Here is a 20343-nt window from a genome sequence, read left to right as displayed (position 1 = left end):
AAAACAAACACAAAAATTAGCTGGCTGCAGTGGCATGTACCTGTAGTCCCAGCTACTTGGGAGACTGAGGTGGGAGGATCACCTGAGCCTAGGAGGTTAAGGCTGCAGTGAGCTGTGATTGTGCCACTGCACTCCAGCCCGGGTGACAGAAGAAAACAATACAAAACCAAAACCAAAAACAAAAGAATTCCCCAGGGCCCAGCCTGGAACCATTCCCTGTGGATGACTCCTTTTGTGTTACGATACTGCTGCCGGGAGGAGGGTAGAAATGAGAAAAGTGGCAGCCAGCCGGCCATGCCTGGAATTCTTACGCCAACACCACCCACAGCACTAGTGAAAATAGATCATGCATTTGAATGCCATCTAATCCGGGGCTGTGGCAGAAAATAGGGTGAAAATGAGAGATGGTTTTCAAAAGTTGTAAGTTAAAAACCGTAGAGTGATCTTCAGAGTGGGTGCTATATTTTACCTTAAACTGTAAGAAATAAAATGTGGACTGCATTTCTCCATTTGTCTTTGTAGAAAGGGAGTTGCAGAGCTTGTGCAAGTTAGACTGTTGCCTGGCACATTATTTTTATTAACTGGGTACCAAATGCTTTTGGATCATGATCATGATGATAGCTCTGCTGCCCCCACATAACAGAGTCTTTGGGATCCAGGCTCCTCGGTCTGGCACCTCTTTTGATTGTCTCCAACACTGTTTTGCCCTTCAGGACGAATATGTGCTATACTATTACTCCAATCTCAGTGTGCCTATTGGGCGCTTCCAGAACCGCGTACACTTGATGGGGGACATCTTATGCAATGATGGCTCTCTCCTGCTCCAAGATGTGCAAGAGGCTGACCAGGGAACCTATATCTGTGAAATCCGCCTCAAAGGGGAGAGCCAGGTGTTCAAGAAGGCGGTGGTACTGCATGTGCTTCCAGAGGAGCCCAAAGGTACGCAAATGCTTACTTAAAGAGGGGCCAAGGGGCAAGAGCTTTCATGTGCAAGAGGCAAGGAAACTGATTATCTTGAGTAAATGCCAGCCTTTGGGCTAAGTACTTACCACAGAGTGAATCTTCAAAAAATGATCATAATTATTTCAGTCAATAAAAATAGAGTTATTTTATTAAATAAAATATTGATAATTATTGTATTATTACTTTAAACACACTTCCCCCTCACAAAAGCCCTGTGAAGGATGTTTTGTTCACATATATGTCCAAATATGTTTTGGACACATATTTATTAAATGGAATAAATAGTACTTGAACCCTGGCACCTCTGACAACAAAGTCCATGTTCTTTTTACTATGCCCTAATACCTTTCATCAGTTATCCACATTGATGCTACATCTGTATTTTATAGGTACCCTATGTTAGGTGATCTGGGGGATAGAAAAGAAATAAGCAGGCCAGGCTCAGTGGCTCATGCCTGTAATCCTAGCATTTTGGGAGGCTGAGGCAGCAGAACTGCCTGAGCCCCAGGGTTCAAGACTGCAGTGAGCTATGATGGCACCACTGCATTCTAGCCTGGGTGACAGAGCAAGACTCTGTCTAAAATAAAAAAAGAGAAAAGAAAAGAAAAGAAAAAAAAAGAAAAAGTCTGGGTGTGATGGCTCATGCCTGTAATCCTAGCACTTTGGGAGCCCGAGGTGGGAGGATCACTTGAAGCCAGTTTGAGACTAGCTTGGGCAACATGGTGAGACCCTATGTCTAAAAAAAATAAAAAATAAAAAAAAAATAATAATAATAGCTGGGCATGATGGCACATGACTGTGGTGGTCTCAGGTACTGGGGAGACTGAGGTGAGAGGATCACTTGAGCCCAGGAGGTGGAGGTTGCAGTGAGCTGTGATCACACCACTGCCCTCCAGCCTGGGTGACAGAGCTGAGACCCTGTCTCTTAAAATAGAAAAAAGAAGAAAGGAGCAGATCTTTCTAACTCTTCTTTGCACTTTATTTTTCCATTTATAAGTGGAAGGAGTGGGTGGTTTTAAAATTTGTGCTCTGTAGAACCTTAAGCTCCAAAGAACATGAAGGGTAAGAGCGGGGCAGGGGTAGGACCCTAGGCTCCCACCTGCATTGCAACCAAAGTCCTTTTCCTTTTTCCTGTTGTATTCATTGGGCTGCCAGGTAAGATTTGGTCTGAATAAGGATTCTGCTGCTTGCAAGCAGTTTGAAAGGGAGAGTATAAGCTGTGGTGGCCCGAGTCATTTAGAAAGTTTTTTTCGCCTCTTTGACTGGGTATTAGTTGAAAGGAATGCAGCTGAGACTGTAACCAAAGGAGGCATTATGCTTCCAGAAAAATCTCAAAAGTATTGCAAGCAACTGTAGAAGCTGTTGTATTGGGCTCTAAAGGAAAGGGTGGAGAGATTCAACCAGTTAGCCCAAAAGCTGGAGATAAAATTCTTCCCCCAGAATCTAGAATATGGAGGCACCAAAGTAGTTCTGGACGACAGGGATAATTTCTTATTTAGAAATGGTGGCATTCTTGGAAAGTATATATACCGAAATAAATCACTATTGAAAAAGCCTCATGTGAAGACACTGATTCCACTGGAGTTCTGAAATCTTTCATTGTGTAAATAATTTCCATGTCTCTCTTTTATAATAAACTAATGATATCCAAACTAACGTTAGCCAGTGTCTCTAAAATTTAGTTTTGCTTATTGATATAAAACTTACAAATAAAAATACATAAATGAAAGTAAAAGTTTGCAAGCCACAGAACTAGATGCATTCTTTAAGAGTGTGGAATAGAAGGAACAGTCTGTGACCCCAGGAGAGCTTGCAATGTAGTTAGGGAACTAGAATCTGGGGCCATTTCCCGCCTGCAGCTAGCTTAGGTCCTTAGCCTCCCAGCTTTATTAATGAGCTCCTCTGGTGCACCCTGCCTTCCTCTCTTATGACACTCATCACACCTATTCACTTGTGTCTTCCCTGCTTGCCTGGGCGTAGCCCCTGGCACAGAGTAAGCAATTAATAAGCATTTGTGGAATGAATGAAATTATTGAGTTAGCATCCCTTGCTTGAATCTGATTTCTAAAAAATGGAGTTGTAGTAGGTGGCCTCTGGCCCCTCTCCTAATTATCCTACTTTTTTTTCATTGTCATTTTTCTCTTAATTCCAAAGCTCTTGTTCTCCAGGAAGAAGAAGCAAATCAGATGCCTGTGCCCAAGGATTCTCTCTCTCTCTCTCTTTTTTTTTTAGGTGGGGTCTTGCTCTGTCACCCAGGCTCTGGAGTTGCAGTGGTATGATCACGGCTCACTGTAGCCTTGAACTCCTGGGCTCAAGTGATCCTTCTGCCTCAACTTCCCGAGTAGCTAGGTCCATAGGTGTGCATCACCATGCCTGGCTTTGTTTGTTTGTTTAAGTAGAGATGGGGTTTCCCTACGTTGCCCAGGCTGGTCTCAAACCCCTGGGCTCAAGTGATCCTCCTGTCTCAGCCTCTCCAAATTGCTGGTATTACAAAGGATTCTCTTTTTGCTTCCTTTTTCTGCCTTTGGTCTCTAATGCCATGCCTGAACACTTGTCCATGCAAGCATAGCCTTTTCCTGCTTAGAAGAGACACAGAGGGAACCACAAGGAGTCAATTTCAAGAGCTGAGGAATCCATGGAAACAGGCTAGGGCAATGTTAGAGATAGTCAGATATTCCCCCAGTGGCTAGTGGAGCAAGCTGTATTTTTTTTTTCTTCCAGCTAGAATGGGAATAGATCCAACCCCTAACAATTTTGCCTAGTGGACCGTGCTCCAACTTGCTTTATGTAAGTTGCCTCCACCAACATGGCAACTCCATTTTTTGTAGTCATCTATAATTTTCTCTACAAAGTTTACCCTTCAGTTGATAGTCTCTCTATGATTCTACCACTTCAATTCTTTTTTTCATAGTTCTTAATTTAAATACTATAGATGAAAATAATAATTAGATTAATGTCCTCTACTTTTGCTCTAGAATCAGCCATCCTTCTACTTATGTGGGGTGCCACAGTAGAGTGAGTGAGAAAACTCGGGCTTTCCTTTCACTCAGACCTGGGCTTAAATGTTGGCTTTACCTTTCCTGGCCATGTGGCATTGGGTTCCTTTACTTTCCTTCTCTGTAAAATGGGAGAGTAGTCATACAAACCTCAAAATATTGTAATGACTAACTAATCTACTGTGTATAGGGTGTCTAGCACATGGTGGTGCATTGAAAGGACTCAGAATGTTCAGTTGTTATTATTGCATTTTAAAAATAGAGTTTAATTCTTAATGTGCTGATAGATTTAAAGGGAGTTTGCTTCCTTACTGGTATTCTTTGGAGTAACTTTTTTATCGCTTTCAAAATAATTCCTTCCATAGATTTTAGAGTTCATAATATTTTCTTTTGCTTTCCTCCTATTGTGCATTTCTCCTGCTGGGCAGGAAGTTACTCTTCTCCCAGGGAAATAATTTGGATGAAAGGGTGGCTTATGCACTCTGTTCCCTTGTGATCTTTGCTTAACACTCTTTGGAAGGAACTCTGTGCACTTAAGACCTAGACTTGTGTCTTCCTTATACACCACCCTGCCTTTCATTGCTTAATCAACTTTGTGGTTGATTTGTACAGAGCATTACTGAAAAATCAGAAATGTCTTTCTACTTCTTTTCTTTTTCATGGGCCACTTAAAATGACTTATGTAATAAACATATGGTGGGTCAGCTGCTTGTACAATAGTCAGAAGGAAGAGCCTAGGAGGTGGAAAGCCAGAAGCAGGGGAAGTCGGGAGGGTGGGGGCAGGAGAGAGCAGGATTAAAACAGAAAGAAAAGTCAAGGAGAAAGCTGTCTTTTGTCTTGGCCTAATTAGCAAGGAGTCCTGTGACTTGTACCAAGGCCAGAACTAGGTCCTAGAATAAAAGAAAAACAATAAAAGAAGTTGAAGAAAGTTACCCCTGGTTCATTTTTTTAGTTGGGAGAGTCAGTGGGTTAAATATAAGAATGAGAGTTCTATAACTTTCCACTTCCTGTTTATGCTAAGCAGATGTTGGTGTCTAAGATGATGAACATAAAGTAGGGACTTTGAGATTTTCCATACTTCCTTTAGTACAAACTTGATGTGAAATTAGAGTTCATGGGAGGAATTCTGGAAAAGGGGAAAGAGAAAGGAATTAAAGAGGACCAGAAAGTGTTTATGGTGATATGGAGACAGCAGAAACCCTCAGGCTTGGTACATGTGGGCAGCTAGAGGGTATTCTCATCTTGGGGATGATGCTGTGCTGGTCTGAGGGAGGAGGCTCTGAGTACTTTGCCCACGTGGAATCATCTGGATCACCCACAGAGGGAATTCGTACAGAGGGAATACGTACAGTGTTTGGTGGTGACAGCGATTTTTGCTGCTGAGGGTCTTTGGCTAAACATGATCTCTTCTAGAAATTCTTTGACTTCTATAGATTATAACTTGAGTCTGACTTGATTTACTGTTTTATCCTCAGAGCTCATGGTCCATGTGGGTGGATTGATTCAGATGGGATGTGTTTTCCAGAGCACAGAAGTGAAACACGTGACCAAGGTAGAATGGATATTTTCAGGACGGCGCGCAAAGGTAACAAGGAGGAAACATCACTGTGTTAGAGAAGGCTCTGGCTGATGGTATCAGGACAAAGGTAGAATCAGGCACATGAGGAGGTGTTGCAAGAGCCTGGGCTTTGGTGCTTATCAGAACTGGACCTTCTCCTAGCAATTTCAGCTTTCTGGTGGGAAAGATAACTCCAATGAAGAACAAGAACAAGAAGATGATGATGATGCTTAACTTTTTGGATGCCGATATGAGATTGTACATGTAAAGCATTTTGTATAAGACTTGGCCCCTGCATTTTAGTTTCCTTCTTTCTCCCTTTTCCTTCGTATAGAGTCCATGGGAGAATGAGGGAGATGATTTTTGTGGCCCAGCCAAGAAAGCAATGGGCTAGACATTAAAGTGATTACACTTTTATTCTTACTGGGGTTAGTTCTGTGAGTTTTCATCTGTGCCCCATTGCCCCATTTATGTGATGGAGGGAATTTTCATGGGTACTTCACGTGTTGGGATTGATTGATCCTGGGGGCCAGGGTGAAGGGTATTTTACGGGAACTCTATAAAGCAGGAAGAAGCAAGTTTATTCTTTAGACCAGTAGCTCTCAACCATGATGTGGTCGTATATTTATGGGTCAACATGTGTTGTGGGGATATCCCAAGTAACTTGTTATTAATAAAAGTTAAGTTGCAAAATTTAGTAAAGACTAACTTTTATAAATTAAAACATATTCCAGGTCATCTCTCTAACAAAGTCATTTGCACTTGATTCCTCTATGCTATCTGAGTGGGTCACAGTGGGTGACATCATGATGGAGTATGGGGAATTACATCTGGTCCCAGGTTCACCTCTGAGAGCTTGCCATACATTTAAATGTCATCCATTGAGTGATTCACAGGAGAAAATAGGATGAGAATTGACATTTTGAGGTTGTGAATTTGAATCACGAGAGACAAAATGTTAGGGGCCAGGTCACTTCATTCATGTTTGTGTCTACACACCCATTAACTTTTCTTAAAAGCTTTAAAAAAGCAATCTACATGGCTTTTTTTAATGCCAATATTCATTTAACAAGTTATTTTTAAAGAATCTGCTATATGAAGAATACTTAAAGCCCCAGTCCTGATGGGAAACTTACAACCAAGATGGAGGAGATACATGTAAAATAATAAAGACGTATATAATACATCAGGCAATAGTAAGAGCCTACGGGGAACAATAAAGCAGGACTTTGTGGTTTTTGTTATGTGGGTGCTTGGGGAGCCCTCACTGAGATGACATTTGAGGAGAGGGAGTGAACCCTGCATATGTGTAGGGGGAAGAGTGTTCTTGCAGTCATAGACAGTAGCAAGTGCAAAGGCCTTGCAGCCAGTATGCAAGGAGCAGCCAAGAGGTCCATGTGGCTGGAGCGCAGTGACCCAAGTAGGTGAGGGAAGAGCAAGTAGAAGTTGAAGTCAGAGGTAAAGGGAGATGGGCTGGGTCATGCAGGGCCTTGCATTTTAGTAGAAATGGGAGTGGGGGCCATGAAGGGTTTTGAGCACAGGAGTAACATGATTTAACTTACATTTTTAAAGGCTCATCTGCTGAAAATAGATTGTCATAGAGAATAAGCAGGGAGACAAGTAAGAAAGCTGTTGCAGGAATCTAGGTGAGAGATGAGCTGGACCAGAATGGTATCAGTGGAGGAGGTGAGGACTGGCTGGATTGGGGATATATTTTGAAGGTAGAGGTGATAGGATTTGCTGAGGGATTCAATGTGATTTGTTCCAGAAAGACAGAAATTAAGGATGACTCCAGGATTTTTAGCCTGAGTATCTGGAGGAAAGCATTGCCATGTACCAAAATGGGATGGACTGGAAAGAACTGGTTTGGGGGAAAGATGAAGAGTTCAGTTTTAGACATGTTTCAGGTTCCTATTGGAAATCCAACTAGAAATGTCATCAAGAATAAAAGTATACTTTTGCTTTTTTTTTATTGGAAAGGTGCACAAAATGAAAGTCCTCCTTTTCTTATCCCTCCATTCAGATGGAAAAACTGTTCATGGTTTTGTGATGTCCTTCACAAGTACACACGCATGCACATGTGTGTGTACATGACTTTGTGTTATTTAATGCTTTCTGATAATACCCTTACTGCCTTCACCTAGCAGGGCCTTGGAGTCCTGAGATCTTCCCTCCCCCATTTTCTCTGCTCCCCGCTCCACTCCAGTCCTCACAATATCATACTTTTTGTCTTTCACTTCTAGGAGGAGATTGTATTTCGTTACTACCACAAACTCAGGATGTCTGTGGAGTACTCCCAGAGCTGGGGCCACTTCCAGAATCGTGTGAACCTGGTGGGGGACATTTTCCGCAATGACGGTTCCATCATGCTTCAAGGAGTGAGGGAGTCAGATGGAGGAAACTACACCTGCAGTATCCACCTAGGGAACCTGGTGTTCAAGAAAACCATTGTGCTGCATGTCAGCCCGGAAGAGCCTCGAAGTATCTAACATTTGGCTGGGGAGCATTGAGGGACCTCCTGGCTGGTGCATGGCGCCAGGACTAGAGTGAGGCCGGAGAGGTTCCTAGGATGCAAAATTGAAGGAGGCATCCCTCTCAGGTGCTGACTCTGGCCTTGCACAACCCTGAGAATGATGCCTCCTTAGAGGTGGCTCCTCAGGTGCCTGGCTTGCCTCACCCTAGTTCTGGCCCTGCTGCTAGGCCAAGGGGAGGGGAGCTAATTTAGTGAATACCAATCCTCTGCCAGACCCCACTCATTGCCAGGGTCATCTACTGATGTAAAGATACAGAAGCTCAGGGAAGGATCGGAGTTGATGTCCAAAGTCAGCATACTTGGTTTCAAGGGAGGTGCTGTATGTGTTAGAGTGGAGCGGGAAATGATCCTAAGCTAGTGAGAGACAGCCAGGAACAGAGAGGAACATGCAGGCACCAGAACCAAAAATGGAGGGTTTTCTGATCAGAGGTTCTGGATTCTGGCAAACAGTGTGCATCAAGGCCAGTGCTGTGTAGGAGAGGAAAGACTTGATTGTGTTGACAGAGAGAGGTTGATAAGTGAGGGGTTAAAGTTAAACCATAACCCAGTTAGCAATCAGGATGTGGCCTGTGGACTTTGCCTGTCGCTAGGGCCTTCAGGAGTTGGCTGTGGTTGGCTGGGGGTGGGGAAGATGGGGTGAGGATGGAACATACCTCATACCTCAGGCCAGAGACCTAAGTCTGTGGAGGCACCTTGTCTCCAGCTGGAGAGGGGAGCACGGCAGGTCTGTGTGCTTCCTTCTCAGAAGTCCAATTCACAGAGAAAATCGAGCCATTATGGGGGCTCATGCAGCTTCTCCACCCACAAACATATCTATGTCTCCCCCATTCTTATCTCTGCCCTGCCATCCTGAGGCAGAGGAAGGTCCCTTCTGCTCTGGGCTTATCTGGCCCCCTGTGCCCAGGTGGTATCCTTCTCAGGAACCTTACAACATGGCTCTTTGAGCTCACTTTCTGTTGGTTTCTACCATTCAATGGATACGTTTGCTCAATTCTACTACTTAATTACTCCAGCTCCATTCTATGTCTTTTTTTCTTCAGCTCCATTCTGTGTCTTTCTTTTTCTTAAGATTGTTTTCCTGAGATACAATTCACATACCATACAATTTGCCCATTTAAAGCGTTCAGCTCAATGGTTTTAGTACATTCAGAGTTGAACAACCACCACCACAATCACGTGTTTCTTTCTCAACATAGCCAAATAGCTTGCTAAAGGTCTGTGTTTGGTATCTTACTGTCTCATCTCCCATTAACTCCTCAGTGCACTGCATTCTGGCTTATTCTACCTCTACTCCAGCTTAGATCACCAATGGCACTGCAATTATCCATCCTCAGCCTTCTCTCCTTCAGTAGCATTTATATGCACTCTATGTTGGACACAGTTCCACACACACCCATGGATATACTTAGTCAACTCTACACAAGTTTTCCACAAATCCTTCATATGCAACATGTCTAACCTACCCCTGCACACCCCTCCTCAGCCCATCTCCCCAACCTCAGTTGTCTAACTAGATGCCTGGGGGTGTGCTTGATTCTTTCCCTTTCCTAGACCCCTAATCTAACAGGTCAGGTCAACAAGTCCTTGACTCCTACTACAGACTCTTGAAGTTGTCTTCCTTCCAGTCTGTCACTGCCGCCTTAGTTCTGGCTGTCTTCATCTCTGTCTTGAACTGTAGGCCTCTAACCAGTCTCTGCTTTCTCTCTCAGCCACTGCTCCTCATTCTTCACGCGGCTCTTGGTGCCATCTTTCTAAATCACATTAAGAACTTTCTCTTCCACTGCTAATAATCTTTCAATGTTGTTTTCATTGCCTGCAGAAAAATGCCAGATTCTTGGTTGAGATAGTCAAGGTCCTTCCTGACTTGGACCCTGTCATCTCTCCAGCGAAATTCTCCAGCACACCCACAAATGCCACTTTTGTGCCAGACCCGTTGAACTCTTTCTAGTTTCTAAAATCATCATCCTGTCAGGCCTCCAGATCTCATGCAGAACATCCCCTCTGTCCTTCTCCATATTGTCTTCCCAACAAACTGGATGTTTCCTGTAAGTCTTAGGTTAAACTTTAGAACTTTTGCTGGCAAATTCTCACTTGCTGCATATAGAATTGGACACCCTTTTTTCTGTGCCCCTCTGTTCCCCATACAGACTTCTGTTGTAGCGCCTACAGCAGCCTGTGGTTTTCTGTTGACGTGTTTGTCTTCTTCCTTGGAAGCAGGGACCACACATCATCATTCATCTCTGAATCCCCTGTACCTAGTGCTGTCTGGCCCTGAGGAGGTGTTTGCTTTATGTATTTAGAAAGAACCATGCAGATGAGTAGAAGGTTCCATATGGGCAGAAGTACCTCCGGAGGCTTTACTTGGTATCGTCACTGTGGGGCTGAGTCTTGCGGCATGAGTTCTTTTGAAGACAACCACTTGCCCTAAGGAAGATCAGCAGCCTCTCAAATGCCTGTTATTTCTGGGTCCTTGTTAAGCCAAATTTTAGAATAGAATTGTTGATGTGAAAGGAAACTTTACTAGAGGTGAACTGCTAGCCTCTTCTCCCACCCACCTTAATCTACATTTTAGGGTAAACGAGGGGGTTAGACTTTGGTTCTCAATCTCATGGAGACAGTGTCCCTAGTGTCCAGATATGGGGTGGAGTCTGGCCTTCCCCTCCGCTTCGTGGCCTGGCTGGTGCTACTTGGTATAGGGCTGTGGGGCTCTCAGCTCTTTGCTAAAGTATTGAGACCCTCTCCTTGCTTTTCTACTTTCCCAAGCACTGGTGACCCCGGCAGCCCTGAGGCCTCTGGTCTTGGGTGGTAATCAGTTGGTGATCATTGTGGGAATTGTCTGTGCCACAATCCTGCTGCTCCCTGTTCTGATATTGATCGTGAAGAAGACCTGTGGAAATAAGAGGTACAGGGCTACCCCCACCCCTTGGATTGGGAGGCTGGGGGTGCAAGGCTGCCTCTACCCCAAAGTAGAACAGGGTGATAGGGCCCTACTTATGCCATTCTCACAGAAGGGGGTATTTTTAAATGGAATCATCTGTGGTAACCCTGCCCACTTTGCTTACTGTGCCCGGGAAAAGAATTTAATATTCCTACGCTCTCCTCATTCACTTTGTTATTATGTAAAGACTACAAACTCCCTTAGAAATGGGGGCCTCAGTAGGGCATAATTCAGAGCATAAATCTTACACAAGAACTATCATGGTACCATTCACTGCCTAAAAGATGATTTTTAAATTATCCATACTGTACGTTCCGCATAGAAGCTAAGATCTTAAGGGTTGCCAGTGGTTTTATCTAAAAGACCACATTCTAATTATGAGATACGATCTTTGAATGGGTGCCCTCAGGTTCTAAATGAATTATTATTAAAAGATGCTTTTGGCCAGGCGCAGTGTCTCATGCCTGTAATCCCAGCACTTTGAGAGGCCAAGGCGGGCGGATCACGAGGTCAGGAGATCGAGACCATCCTTGCTAACACGGTGAAAAGCTGTCTTTACTAAAAATGCAAAAAATTAGCTGGACGTGGTGGCATGTGCTTGTACTCCCAGCTACTTGGGAGGCTGAGGCAGGAGAATGGCGTGAACCTGGGAGGTGGAGCTTGCAGTGAGCCGAGATCACGCCACTGCACTCCAGCCTGGGTGACAGAGCGAGACTCTGTCTCAAAAAAAAAAAAAAAAAAAAATAATAATAATAATAATGTGCTTTTAAAGGCCTGAATTTCATCGGTAGTTCTCCCAGGGTCTCAGAAGTGCCCAGATGCTCCAACAGGGACACTTGTGTTTCACTGGCTGTTGGCAGATCCATGTCCCTCAGTTTATCCAACTATCGATGGAGTATGCTTGTAGTGCAGATCGACTCCCTTGTTGAAATAGTGTCAGTGGGAAAGGGCCTCATGAATAGTCCTGACTTTTGAGTGTTCTTTCCCAGTGGGTCTTGGATCCTGCAGAAAACACTTGTGCCTGCTAAGTTTTCACTTGCACTCCCTAGGGCTTCCTGATTTGGTTTTGAACTTGGCTGGCCTCTCTAAAGGTCTTTGCTCTGGGCATGCTCGGAGCACTGAGCTAGACAACCTGGATTCCACTCTCAGCTTACTTCCCCTGTCGGGACCTCAGTTTCCCGCCAAAGGAAAGGTAGCACTTCCATGTCTAGTCGTTTATTCTAAAGAAATAATTAAATGGATATGCTGAGATTTGTGCAAAACTGCCGTCTTGCTTATAATTAAAAATAGGGATAATTGCCAGTGTCTGTCAGAAAGGCAACGATTCAGTGAACCAGTCAATGAAACACTCCAGATCCCTCTACATAATGACATGGAAAGATATCCAAGGAGTAAAAATACAGAATTTATGGTATGACCTCATTTTTATAAAAGAGAAAATAATATGATGCTCACTCCAGCAGCATATGTACTAAATACATTTTATGTGAGCTTATGCTTACACTGAGAGAGGCTTGGAAGGACAGTTGTAAAATGTGGGTAATTGTGTGGAATTTGAAGTGAAGGAGAAGGTGGATCCCATGGGGTGACGGGTTGCAGGGAACTTCCACTTCCAACTGTCTACATTTCTGTATTATCTGAATTATTTGACAGTGAGAAGATACAACTTTAAAAGCAGAAAATACAAGGAAAATATTTCCACTGAGACCAAAACATATGGTTTCTTTTCTAGCTTAAACCTTGAATTTTTTTTTTTTTTTTTTAGTTCTGACTTAGGCCAAAATAGAAAAAAAGAAAGTATGTTCAGAAGGCAAATGGTCATGAGATCAAAGGCCAAGGGACCCCGACAGGGCAGGCGCAGAGCTCCTGCTTGGGGCTTGGGTCGGGTGTTTGTGGGGGTTATTCTGCTCCGCCCCCCGGAAAGGCCAGGAGCCCTTCGGATTGGCGTCTTGCTGAGCTCCTGCTGCCCCCTGCTGGTTTCGCGGCACTCCCTGGTCCTCAGAAATGTAGACAGGATGGTCAAATGGAATCCCATCTCCCCTCTCTCTCTTCATTCACTTAAAATTACCTCTCCCATACGGACTGAAAGTGGCTTGAGTGATAATAGAGAAGTTGAAGCTGCTTTTCAGCCTAAATTATCTCCAGAACGGCTTCTTGTTCTTCATTAGAAGAGATGCGCTTCTCAGGTTTCCAGGTGAGCCGGGTAGCCCTGGCTGTAGGAGTCCAGAGAGAATAGTTCCTTCTCTGGTGTCTCTCTCTTCACGAAGCCAAGAGGGGATCTCATGTAGGGACCCTTGAATAAACCATGCCCGCTGGTTAATTCCACATGCTTTTCATGTCTTGCAGTTCAGTGAATTCTACAGTCTTGGTGAAGAACACGAAGAAGACTAATCCAGAGATAAAAGAAAAACCCTGCCATTTTGAAAGATGTGAAGGGGAGGTGAACACACGCTTCAGCCTAAAACACTAAGTAGATGCAGGCCTGGGCCGTTCTCATACCCCCGGGAACCATATCTTACCCATTGTATGTCGCAGCTTGCAGGCCAGTGCTTGGCACAGAGCAGGGACTCAGGAAGCCTTTGTCACTAAAGTAAGAGCCTCTGCGGAGTACAGTGCATGGGGTCGGCTGGGACAGCCCCAGGCAGCAGATCCTGGTATTGGGCTGAGGAAAGAGCACTGCGCTTGGAGTCAGTAAGATCTGCCACCTCCCTGAGTCTCATCAGCAAAATGAGGATAAAGATAAAGATACTATAGTTGCCCAGCCTGCTTGACAGGGTTGTTGTAAGGTTCACATAAGATGATGATATGCAAATGCTTTGTAATCTAGGAGGTGCTATTTGTCTAAAGTCTAATGGAGAATTATAATACATCCAGGAGTTAAGGAGTTCTAATGCTTAAAATGAAATAGTCTAAGATCTTAGCAAGAAAGGATTAAGAAGGACTTTTCTCTCCATATTGATTTTGTAATGGAGTTATAAATAATTGCTTCTAGAGACTGAGAAATTGATTGGTTTTCTTTAACTCCTATTCTTTCTTTTCTTTCTTTAATTTTAAAAAAACTCTTTGAATAGTTACCTTTCTCTATTTTGGGCTGTTTTTGTCCCAAGAGTAGGATTTTTTCCCAGTAGAGTGCAGTGGTCCAAGAATGGGCCACTGGATGATACTGCTTTACCAACGAGTGACAGGACCATGAACCTCACAGTTGTGAGGTTCAATGAGGGCTGGCCCTGCCACATAAATCCTCTGAGGGAGATGATGACAATTCACTGCTGATTAATGCCATTCTGCCTTTACTGTAATTAGAAGGAAATAACCCCAGAATACAAGGAATTTAGCAAGATAAGGAACCCCTGCTGCTACCTAAACATCCATCTAAACAAAGATGTTTGGCTTTTGAAGCAAAGAGTTTGGTTCTTAAGACTGTGTTCTTTGACAGTTAATTTTCAAGAAGACTGAAGACTGAATTATCATTGTTGAGAATTCTCTAGGTCTCAGTAACCCTCTGAACCAGCAGTTTGGGTGGTCGATGCCTAGCAAATAGGAGTGGGTGGCCTTTTCTCTGGTGTATAAGATTCATCTAATTTTTAGGAATTTTTGTACCATTTTCCCCCTCTAGAAACACATTTACTCCCCAATAATTGTACGGGAGGTGATCGAGGAAGAAGAACCAAGTGAAAAATCAGAGGCCACCTACATGACCATGGTGAGAATGATTCTGGCCTCAGCTGAGCCAGGTGTCAGAGGCTCAGGTGGTGGTGGTGGTGGGCGTGGCTGGGTTGCCCAAGGGAGGCTGCTGAGGGCGGTGATTTTTCTAAGTAGCAGAAAAGTCTGAGAAACTGAAGTTCTGCTGGATAGAAGAGTGATATCAAACTTTCTTACCCAAGCTCAAGGATTAAAGGTTATCACCAGAGATTATTTATATTAGTGGTGAAAAGAAGTGAAGAGTGGCTTTTACTGAGGGCAGGGAGGACGTCTTTTGCCTCATCAGTTCAATCTAATAAAGAAAACACGGCCGGGTGTGGTGGCTCATGCCTGAAATCCCAGCACTTTGGGAGGCCGAGGTGGGCGGATTGCTTGAGGCCAGGAGTTCAAGACCAGCCTGGCCAATGTGGCAAAACTCCCTCTCTACTAAAAATACAAAAATTGGCCAGGTGTGGAGATGCGTGCCTATAATCCCAGCTACTTGGGAGGCTGAGGCACGAGAATTGCTTGGACCTGGAAGGCGTTGGTTACATGAGCCGAGATCCACCACTACACTCCAGCCTGGGAGACAGAGTAAGACTCTGTTTCAAAAAAAAAAAAAAAGGCCGAGCATGGTGGCTCACACCTGTAAACCTAGCACTTTGGGAGGCTGAGGCAGGTGGATCACTTGAGGTCAGGAGTTTGAGACCAGCCTGGCCAACATGGTGAAACACTGTCTTACTAAAAATACAAAAAAATTAGCCAGGCATGGTGGCGGGCACCTGTAATCCCAGCTACTTGGGAGGCTGAGGCAGGAGAATTGCTTGAACCTGGGAGGTGGAGGTTGCAGTGAGCTAAGATCGCGCCACTGCACTCCAGCCTGGGAAACAGAGCGAGACTCCTGTCTCAAAACAACAACAACAACAAAGAAAATAGGATAAATAGGATAAGATCCTTGGGCAAGTATTGTGTTGCTGTGAGTCGTTTTCCTTGCTATCAAAAGGTCAAAGTAGGGTTCCTTCCAATGCTTAGATTTTGTTTCTTAACTTTGTGACTTATTATACCTTCTCATAACCTAACTGCCAGGCAGGCTGCATGCTGGATCTCATACAATATTTTGGAGTCTGATTCCTAATTTCCCTTTGCTTAGACTTCTGTAGCCCCTTAGAGAACTGCAGTGCCTGGAAAAGGCACCTCGGGGCGTGCAGTGAGTGGGGGTAGGGACAAAAGGAGTGAGCTGGCGATGAGCACGGTGCTATTTGTAGACTAATTATAGGCACCCAGCCTATTAAGGAGCAGTGTTCTGTGGGTTTGGGAAGGCTGGCCTCCTCTGCTTGTGGAATGATGGGCTTTGTTTGTTCCTATCGTACCAGCCCTGAGGACACATGACTCCCAGCTGATTGCAGCAGAGAGAGGTCTGCCAGGGAAGTGTGAGATCAGAGGCCTGGCCTGGATCCACCGAGTGAAACATTAACTCCACCCTGAAGTTGCAGCTGAATGGAATCATTTTCCCTCTGTATCTTTCTCCCATACTGTTATGTGATGCTGCAGTAACTTGCGAGGCCTCATCCTGGCTCCTGGAGACCTGCTGATACAGCTGCCTTGTGGCTACTGCTGAGTGGGTCACCAGCCAGGGTGGCACTGTTTGCAGAACGTCTCCGAGGTGGAGATGATGCAGGAGGAACAATTGTCTTCACAGCTAACTTCCCCAGGTTTAATGCTAGGCGATTATGGTTTTGATTCTGTTGAAAACACCATTCCTGTCCTCTTGATCTAGATCCAATAGAGTAAGAGAAGAGGCCTGGGCTGCAAACTCAAAGGCTGGCAGGGGCCAGTCAAGTTATTTTAAAATATGATGTGCCAAGTTAAATAAGGCTGTTGGTGAATTTGGGACTGCAGGCCACTTGTTTGAGACTGCATTTATAAAGGTGTTCTCTGATAGGGAGCAGGGGTAACAAAGAGCCTTTGTTTTTTGTTGTTGAATTGATGAAATTCATGTAAATGTAGTGGCACCTTGCTGTTTTCCCTTTCTGAGGCTGTACACACAGAGGTTAAGATCACAAGCTGTGGAGTTAGACAGACCTGGGTCCAAATTCTAACTCTGTGTTGCAGCCAGATGGTCTTGGGCAGTAACTTGGCCTGTCTGAGCCTCAGTTTCCTTATCCTTAGAAAGGCAATAATAATACCTACCTCCTGGTGGTAAGGATCACATGAGATAATGCATATGAAATTCAGTACTGGGCCGGGCTCATGAGAAGAGCTCAATGAACAGCAGCTGCTATGATTATGGAACTACTTCTTACAAGCATGTTTTGTTTCTTTCTGCCCTTCCCCCACAGCACCCAGTTTGGCCTTCTCTGAGGTCAGATCGGAACAACTCACTTGAAAAAAAGTCAGGTGGGGGAATGCCAAAAACACAGCAAGCCTTTTGAGAAGAATGGAGAGTCCCTTCATCTCAGCAGCGGTGGAGACTCTCTCCTGTGTGTGTCCTGGGCCACTCTACCAGTGATTTCAGACTCCCGCTCTCCCAGCTGTCCTCCTGTCTCATTGTTTGGTCAATACACTGAAGATGGAGAATTTGGAGCCTGGCAGAGAGACTGGACAGCTCTGGAGGAACAGGCCTGCTGAGGGGAGGGGAGCATGGACTTGGCCTCTGGAGTGGGACACTGGCCCTGGGAACCAGGCTGAGCTGAGTGGCCTCAAACCCCCCGTTGGATCAGACCCTCCTGTGGGCAGGGTTCTTAGTGGATGAGTTACTGGGAAGAATCAGAGATAAAAACCAACCCAAATCATTCCTCTGGCACATTATTTCTAAATAAGTGTTGTTTGTGGAAATCGTCCTATTTTTATGCCTCGGTTGAGGGGGCAAGTAAAGTCCTGGTGAGGAATTTACAGTTAGAAACTTTTGGAAAAACTGAAGTTCCTGGAGGAAAGCCAAACCGTGCTAACACACTAGAGGCTGGTTTTGGTCCTGGGAAAGGTTTGGGGTGAATGGGTTGGAAGTAGGGTATGAATACAGTTTTGGGATTTAACTCAGTGGTTCTTCATTCCTGCTGGTGGCTCCTTGCGGGGCCTCACCACATGCCTCCTAATTTGAAATTTCTGGGTGAAGTTTAGGCATTTGTCTTTCCTGATACTCATGGGTTGCCACAGTGGACAGCCACTGATTTAATTCTTGGTCTGAAATGTGCGGTTCCTATACTTTTAGTTGCTATTGTAAGATTTGATAAGGTTAGTCTTAAAAATCCTTTGGCGGGGGGCATCCAAATTGGTAATGAGGAAGTCAAACTGTCTCTGTTTGCTGATGACATAATCATAAACCTTGAAAACCCTAAAGACTCATCCAAAAAGCTCCTAGAACTGGTAAATGAATTCAGCAAAGTTTCAGGATACATAATTAATGTATACAAATCAGTAGCTTTGCTGTACACCAATAGCAACCAAGCTGAGAATCAAATCAATAACTTAATCTCTTTTATAATAGCTGCAAAAAAAATTAAAATACTTAGGAATATACTTAACCAAGGAGGTGAAAGACCTCTACAATGAAAACTACAAAATACTGCTGAAAGGAATCATAGACAGCACAAATGGAAACACATCCCATGCTCACGCATGGGTAGAATCAATATTGTGAAAATGACCATACTGCCTGTATTTAGTTTGTTTTCATGCTCCTGATAAAGACATACCCGAGACTGGGAAGAAAAAGAGGTTTAATTGGACTTACAGTTCCACATGGCTGCAGAGGTCTCAGAATCATGGCGGGAAGTGAAAGGCACTTCTTATACGGCGGTGGCAAGAGAAAATGAGGAAGATGCAAAAGTAGAAACCCCTGATAAAACCATCAAATCTCATGAGACTTATTCACTACCATGAGAACAGTATGGGGGAAACCACCTCAATGATTCAAATTATCTCCCACTAGGCCCCTCCCACAATATGTGGGAATTATGGGAGTATAATTTAAGATGGGCTGGGTGCGGTGGCTCTCGCCTGTAATCCCAGCACTTTGGGAGGCCAAGGCAGGCAGATCACAAGGTCAGGAGATCGAGACTATGGTGAAACCCCATCTCTACTAAAAAAAATACAAAAAATTAGCCGGGCATGGTGGCGGGCGCCTGTAGTCCCAGCTACTCGGGAGGGTGAGGCAGGAGAATGGCATGAACCCGGAAGGCAGAGCTTGCAGTGAGCTGAGATTGCACCACTGCACTCCACACTGGGCAACAGAGCGAGACTCCATCTCAAAATAATAATAATAATAATACTTTAAGATGATATTTGGGTGGGTACACAGAACCAAACCATATCATTCCACCTCTGGCCCTTCCAAATCTCATGTCCTCACATTTCAAAACAAATCATGCCTTCCCAACAGCCCCCAAAAGTCTTAACTCATTTCAGCATTAACCCAAAGTCTACAGTCCAAAGTCTCATCTGAAATAAGGCAAGTCCCTTCCACCTATGAGCCTGTGAAATCAAAAGCAAGCTGGTTACTTCCAACATACAATGGGGGTAAAAGGTATTGGGTAAATACAGCCATTCCAAATGGGAGAAATTGGCCAAAACAAAGTGGTTACAGGGCCCATGCAAGTCTGAAATCCAGCAAGGCAGTCAAAATTTAGAGCTTCAAAAATGATCTCCTTTGACTCCAGGTCTCACATCCAGGTCACACTGATGCAAGAAGTGGGTTCCCATGGTCTTCGGCAGCTCTGCCCTGTGGCTTTGCAGGGTACAGCCTCCTTCCTGGCTGTTTTCATGGGCTGGCAGTGAGTGTCTGCAGCTTTTCCAGGTGAACGGTGCAAGCTGTTGGTGGATCTACCATTCTGGGGTCTGGAGGATGGTAGCCCTCTTCTCACAGCTCCACTAGGCAGTGCCCCAGTAGGGACTCTGTATGGGGGCTCTGATCTCACATTTCCCTTCTGCACTGCCCTAGCAGAGGTTCTCCATGAGGGCCCCGCCCCTGTAGCAAACTTTTGCCTGGGCATCCAGGCATTTCCACACATCTTCTAAAATCTAGGCAGAGGTTCCCAAACCCCAGTTCTTGACTTCTGCGCACTCGCAGGCTCAACACCACATGGAAGCTGCCAAAGCTTGGGACTTGCACCCTCTGAAGTCATGGCCTGAGCTCTATGGTGGCCCCTTTCAGCCATGGCTGGAGTGGCTGGGATGCAGGGCACCAAGTCCCTAGGCTGCACACAGCGCGGGGACACTGGGCCTGGCCCATGAAACCATTTTCTCCTAGGCCTTCTGGCCTGTGATGGGAGGGGCTGCTGTGAAGACCTCTGACATGCCCTGGAGACATTTTCCCCATTGTCTTAGGGATTAACACTCAGCAACTTGTTACTTATGCAAATTTCTGCAGCCAGCTTAAATTTCTTCTCAGAAAATGGGTTTTTCTTTTCTATCACATTATCAGGCTGCAAATTTTCTGAACTTTTATGCTCTGCTTCCCTTATAAAACTGAATGCCTTTAGCAGCACCCAAGTCACCTCTTGAATGCTTTGCTGCTTAGAAATTTCTTCTGCCAGATACCCTAAATCACCTCTCTTCAGTTCAAAGTTCCACAAATCTCTAGGGCAGGGGCAAAATGCCACCAGTCTGTTTGCTAAAACATAACAAGAGTCACCTTTGCTCCGGTTCCCAACAAGTTCCTCATCTCCATCTGAGACCG

At 44.7% G+C, this 20343-nt stretch overlaps 1 protein-coding gene and 1 pseudogene across 5 annotated transcripts in view, besides 1 other annotated feature; both read left to right on the top strand.

Moving 5' to 3' along the window:
* JAML (junction adhesion molecule like) overlaps positions 1-17701 on the top strand; it is a 31287-nt gene extending 13586 nt beyond the window's left edge. For 4 of the 5 annotated variants that reach the window (NM_001286570.2, NM_001098526.2, NM_001286571.2 and 1 more), the window contains 7 exons: positions 714-939; positions 5435-5544; positions 7761-7998; positions 10814-10952; positions 13335-13428; positions 14605-14691; positions 17009-17701. In NM_001286570.2, coding sequence (NP_001273499.1) covers positions 714-939; positions 5435-5544; positions 7761-7998; positions 10814-10952; positions 13335-13428; positions 14605-14691; positions 17009-17101 — 987 coding nt within the window. In that variant the 3' untranslated portion in view covers positions 17102-17701. Of the gene's footprint in view, positions 1-713; positions 940-5434; positions 5545-7760; positions 7999-10813; positions 10953-13334; positions 13459-14604; positions 14692-17008 lie in introns of all 5 variants that reach the window. The other variant, NR_104479.2, reaches the window with a different exon arrangement.
* On the top strand, positions 2199-2690 carry HSPE1P18 (heat shock protein family E (Hsp10) member 1 pseudogene 18; annotated as a pseudogene).
* Positions 16973-17162: an enhancer, noted in NCBI's record as "active region_5584". NCBI's record gives its function as "activates an Ori minimal core promoter by ATAC-STARR-seq in GM12878 lymphoblastoid cells {active_cell/tissue: GM12878}" and the evidence as "EXISTENCE:reporter gene assay evidence [ECO:0000049][PMID:35858748]".
* Positions 17702-20343: the final 2642 nt, after the last annotated feature.

The sequence above is a fragment of the Homo sapiens genome, chromosome 11 (genome assembly GCF_000001405.40).
Source record: "Homo sapiens chromosome 11, GRCh38.p14 Primary Assembly".
Lineage (NCBI taxonomy): Eukaryota > Metazoa > Chordata > Mammalia > Primates > Hominidae > Homo > Homo sapiens.
This window is presented reverse-complemented; position numbering and strand designations above follow the sequence as displayed.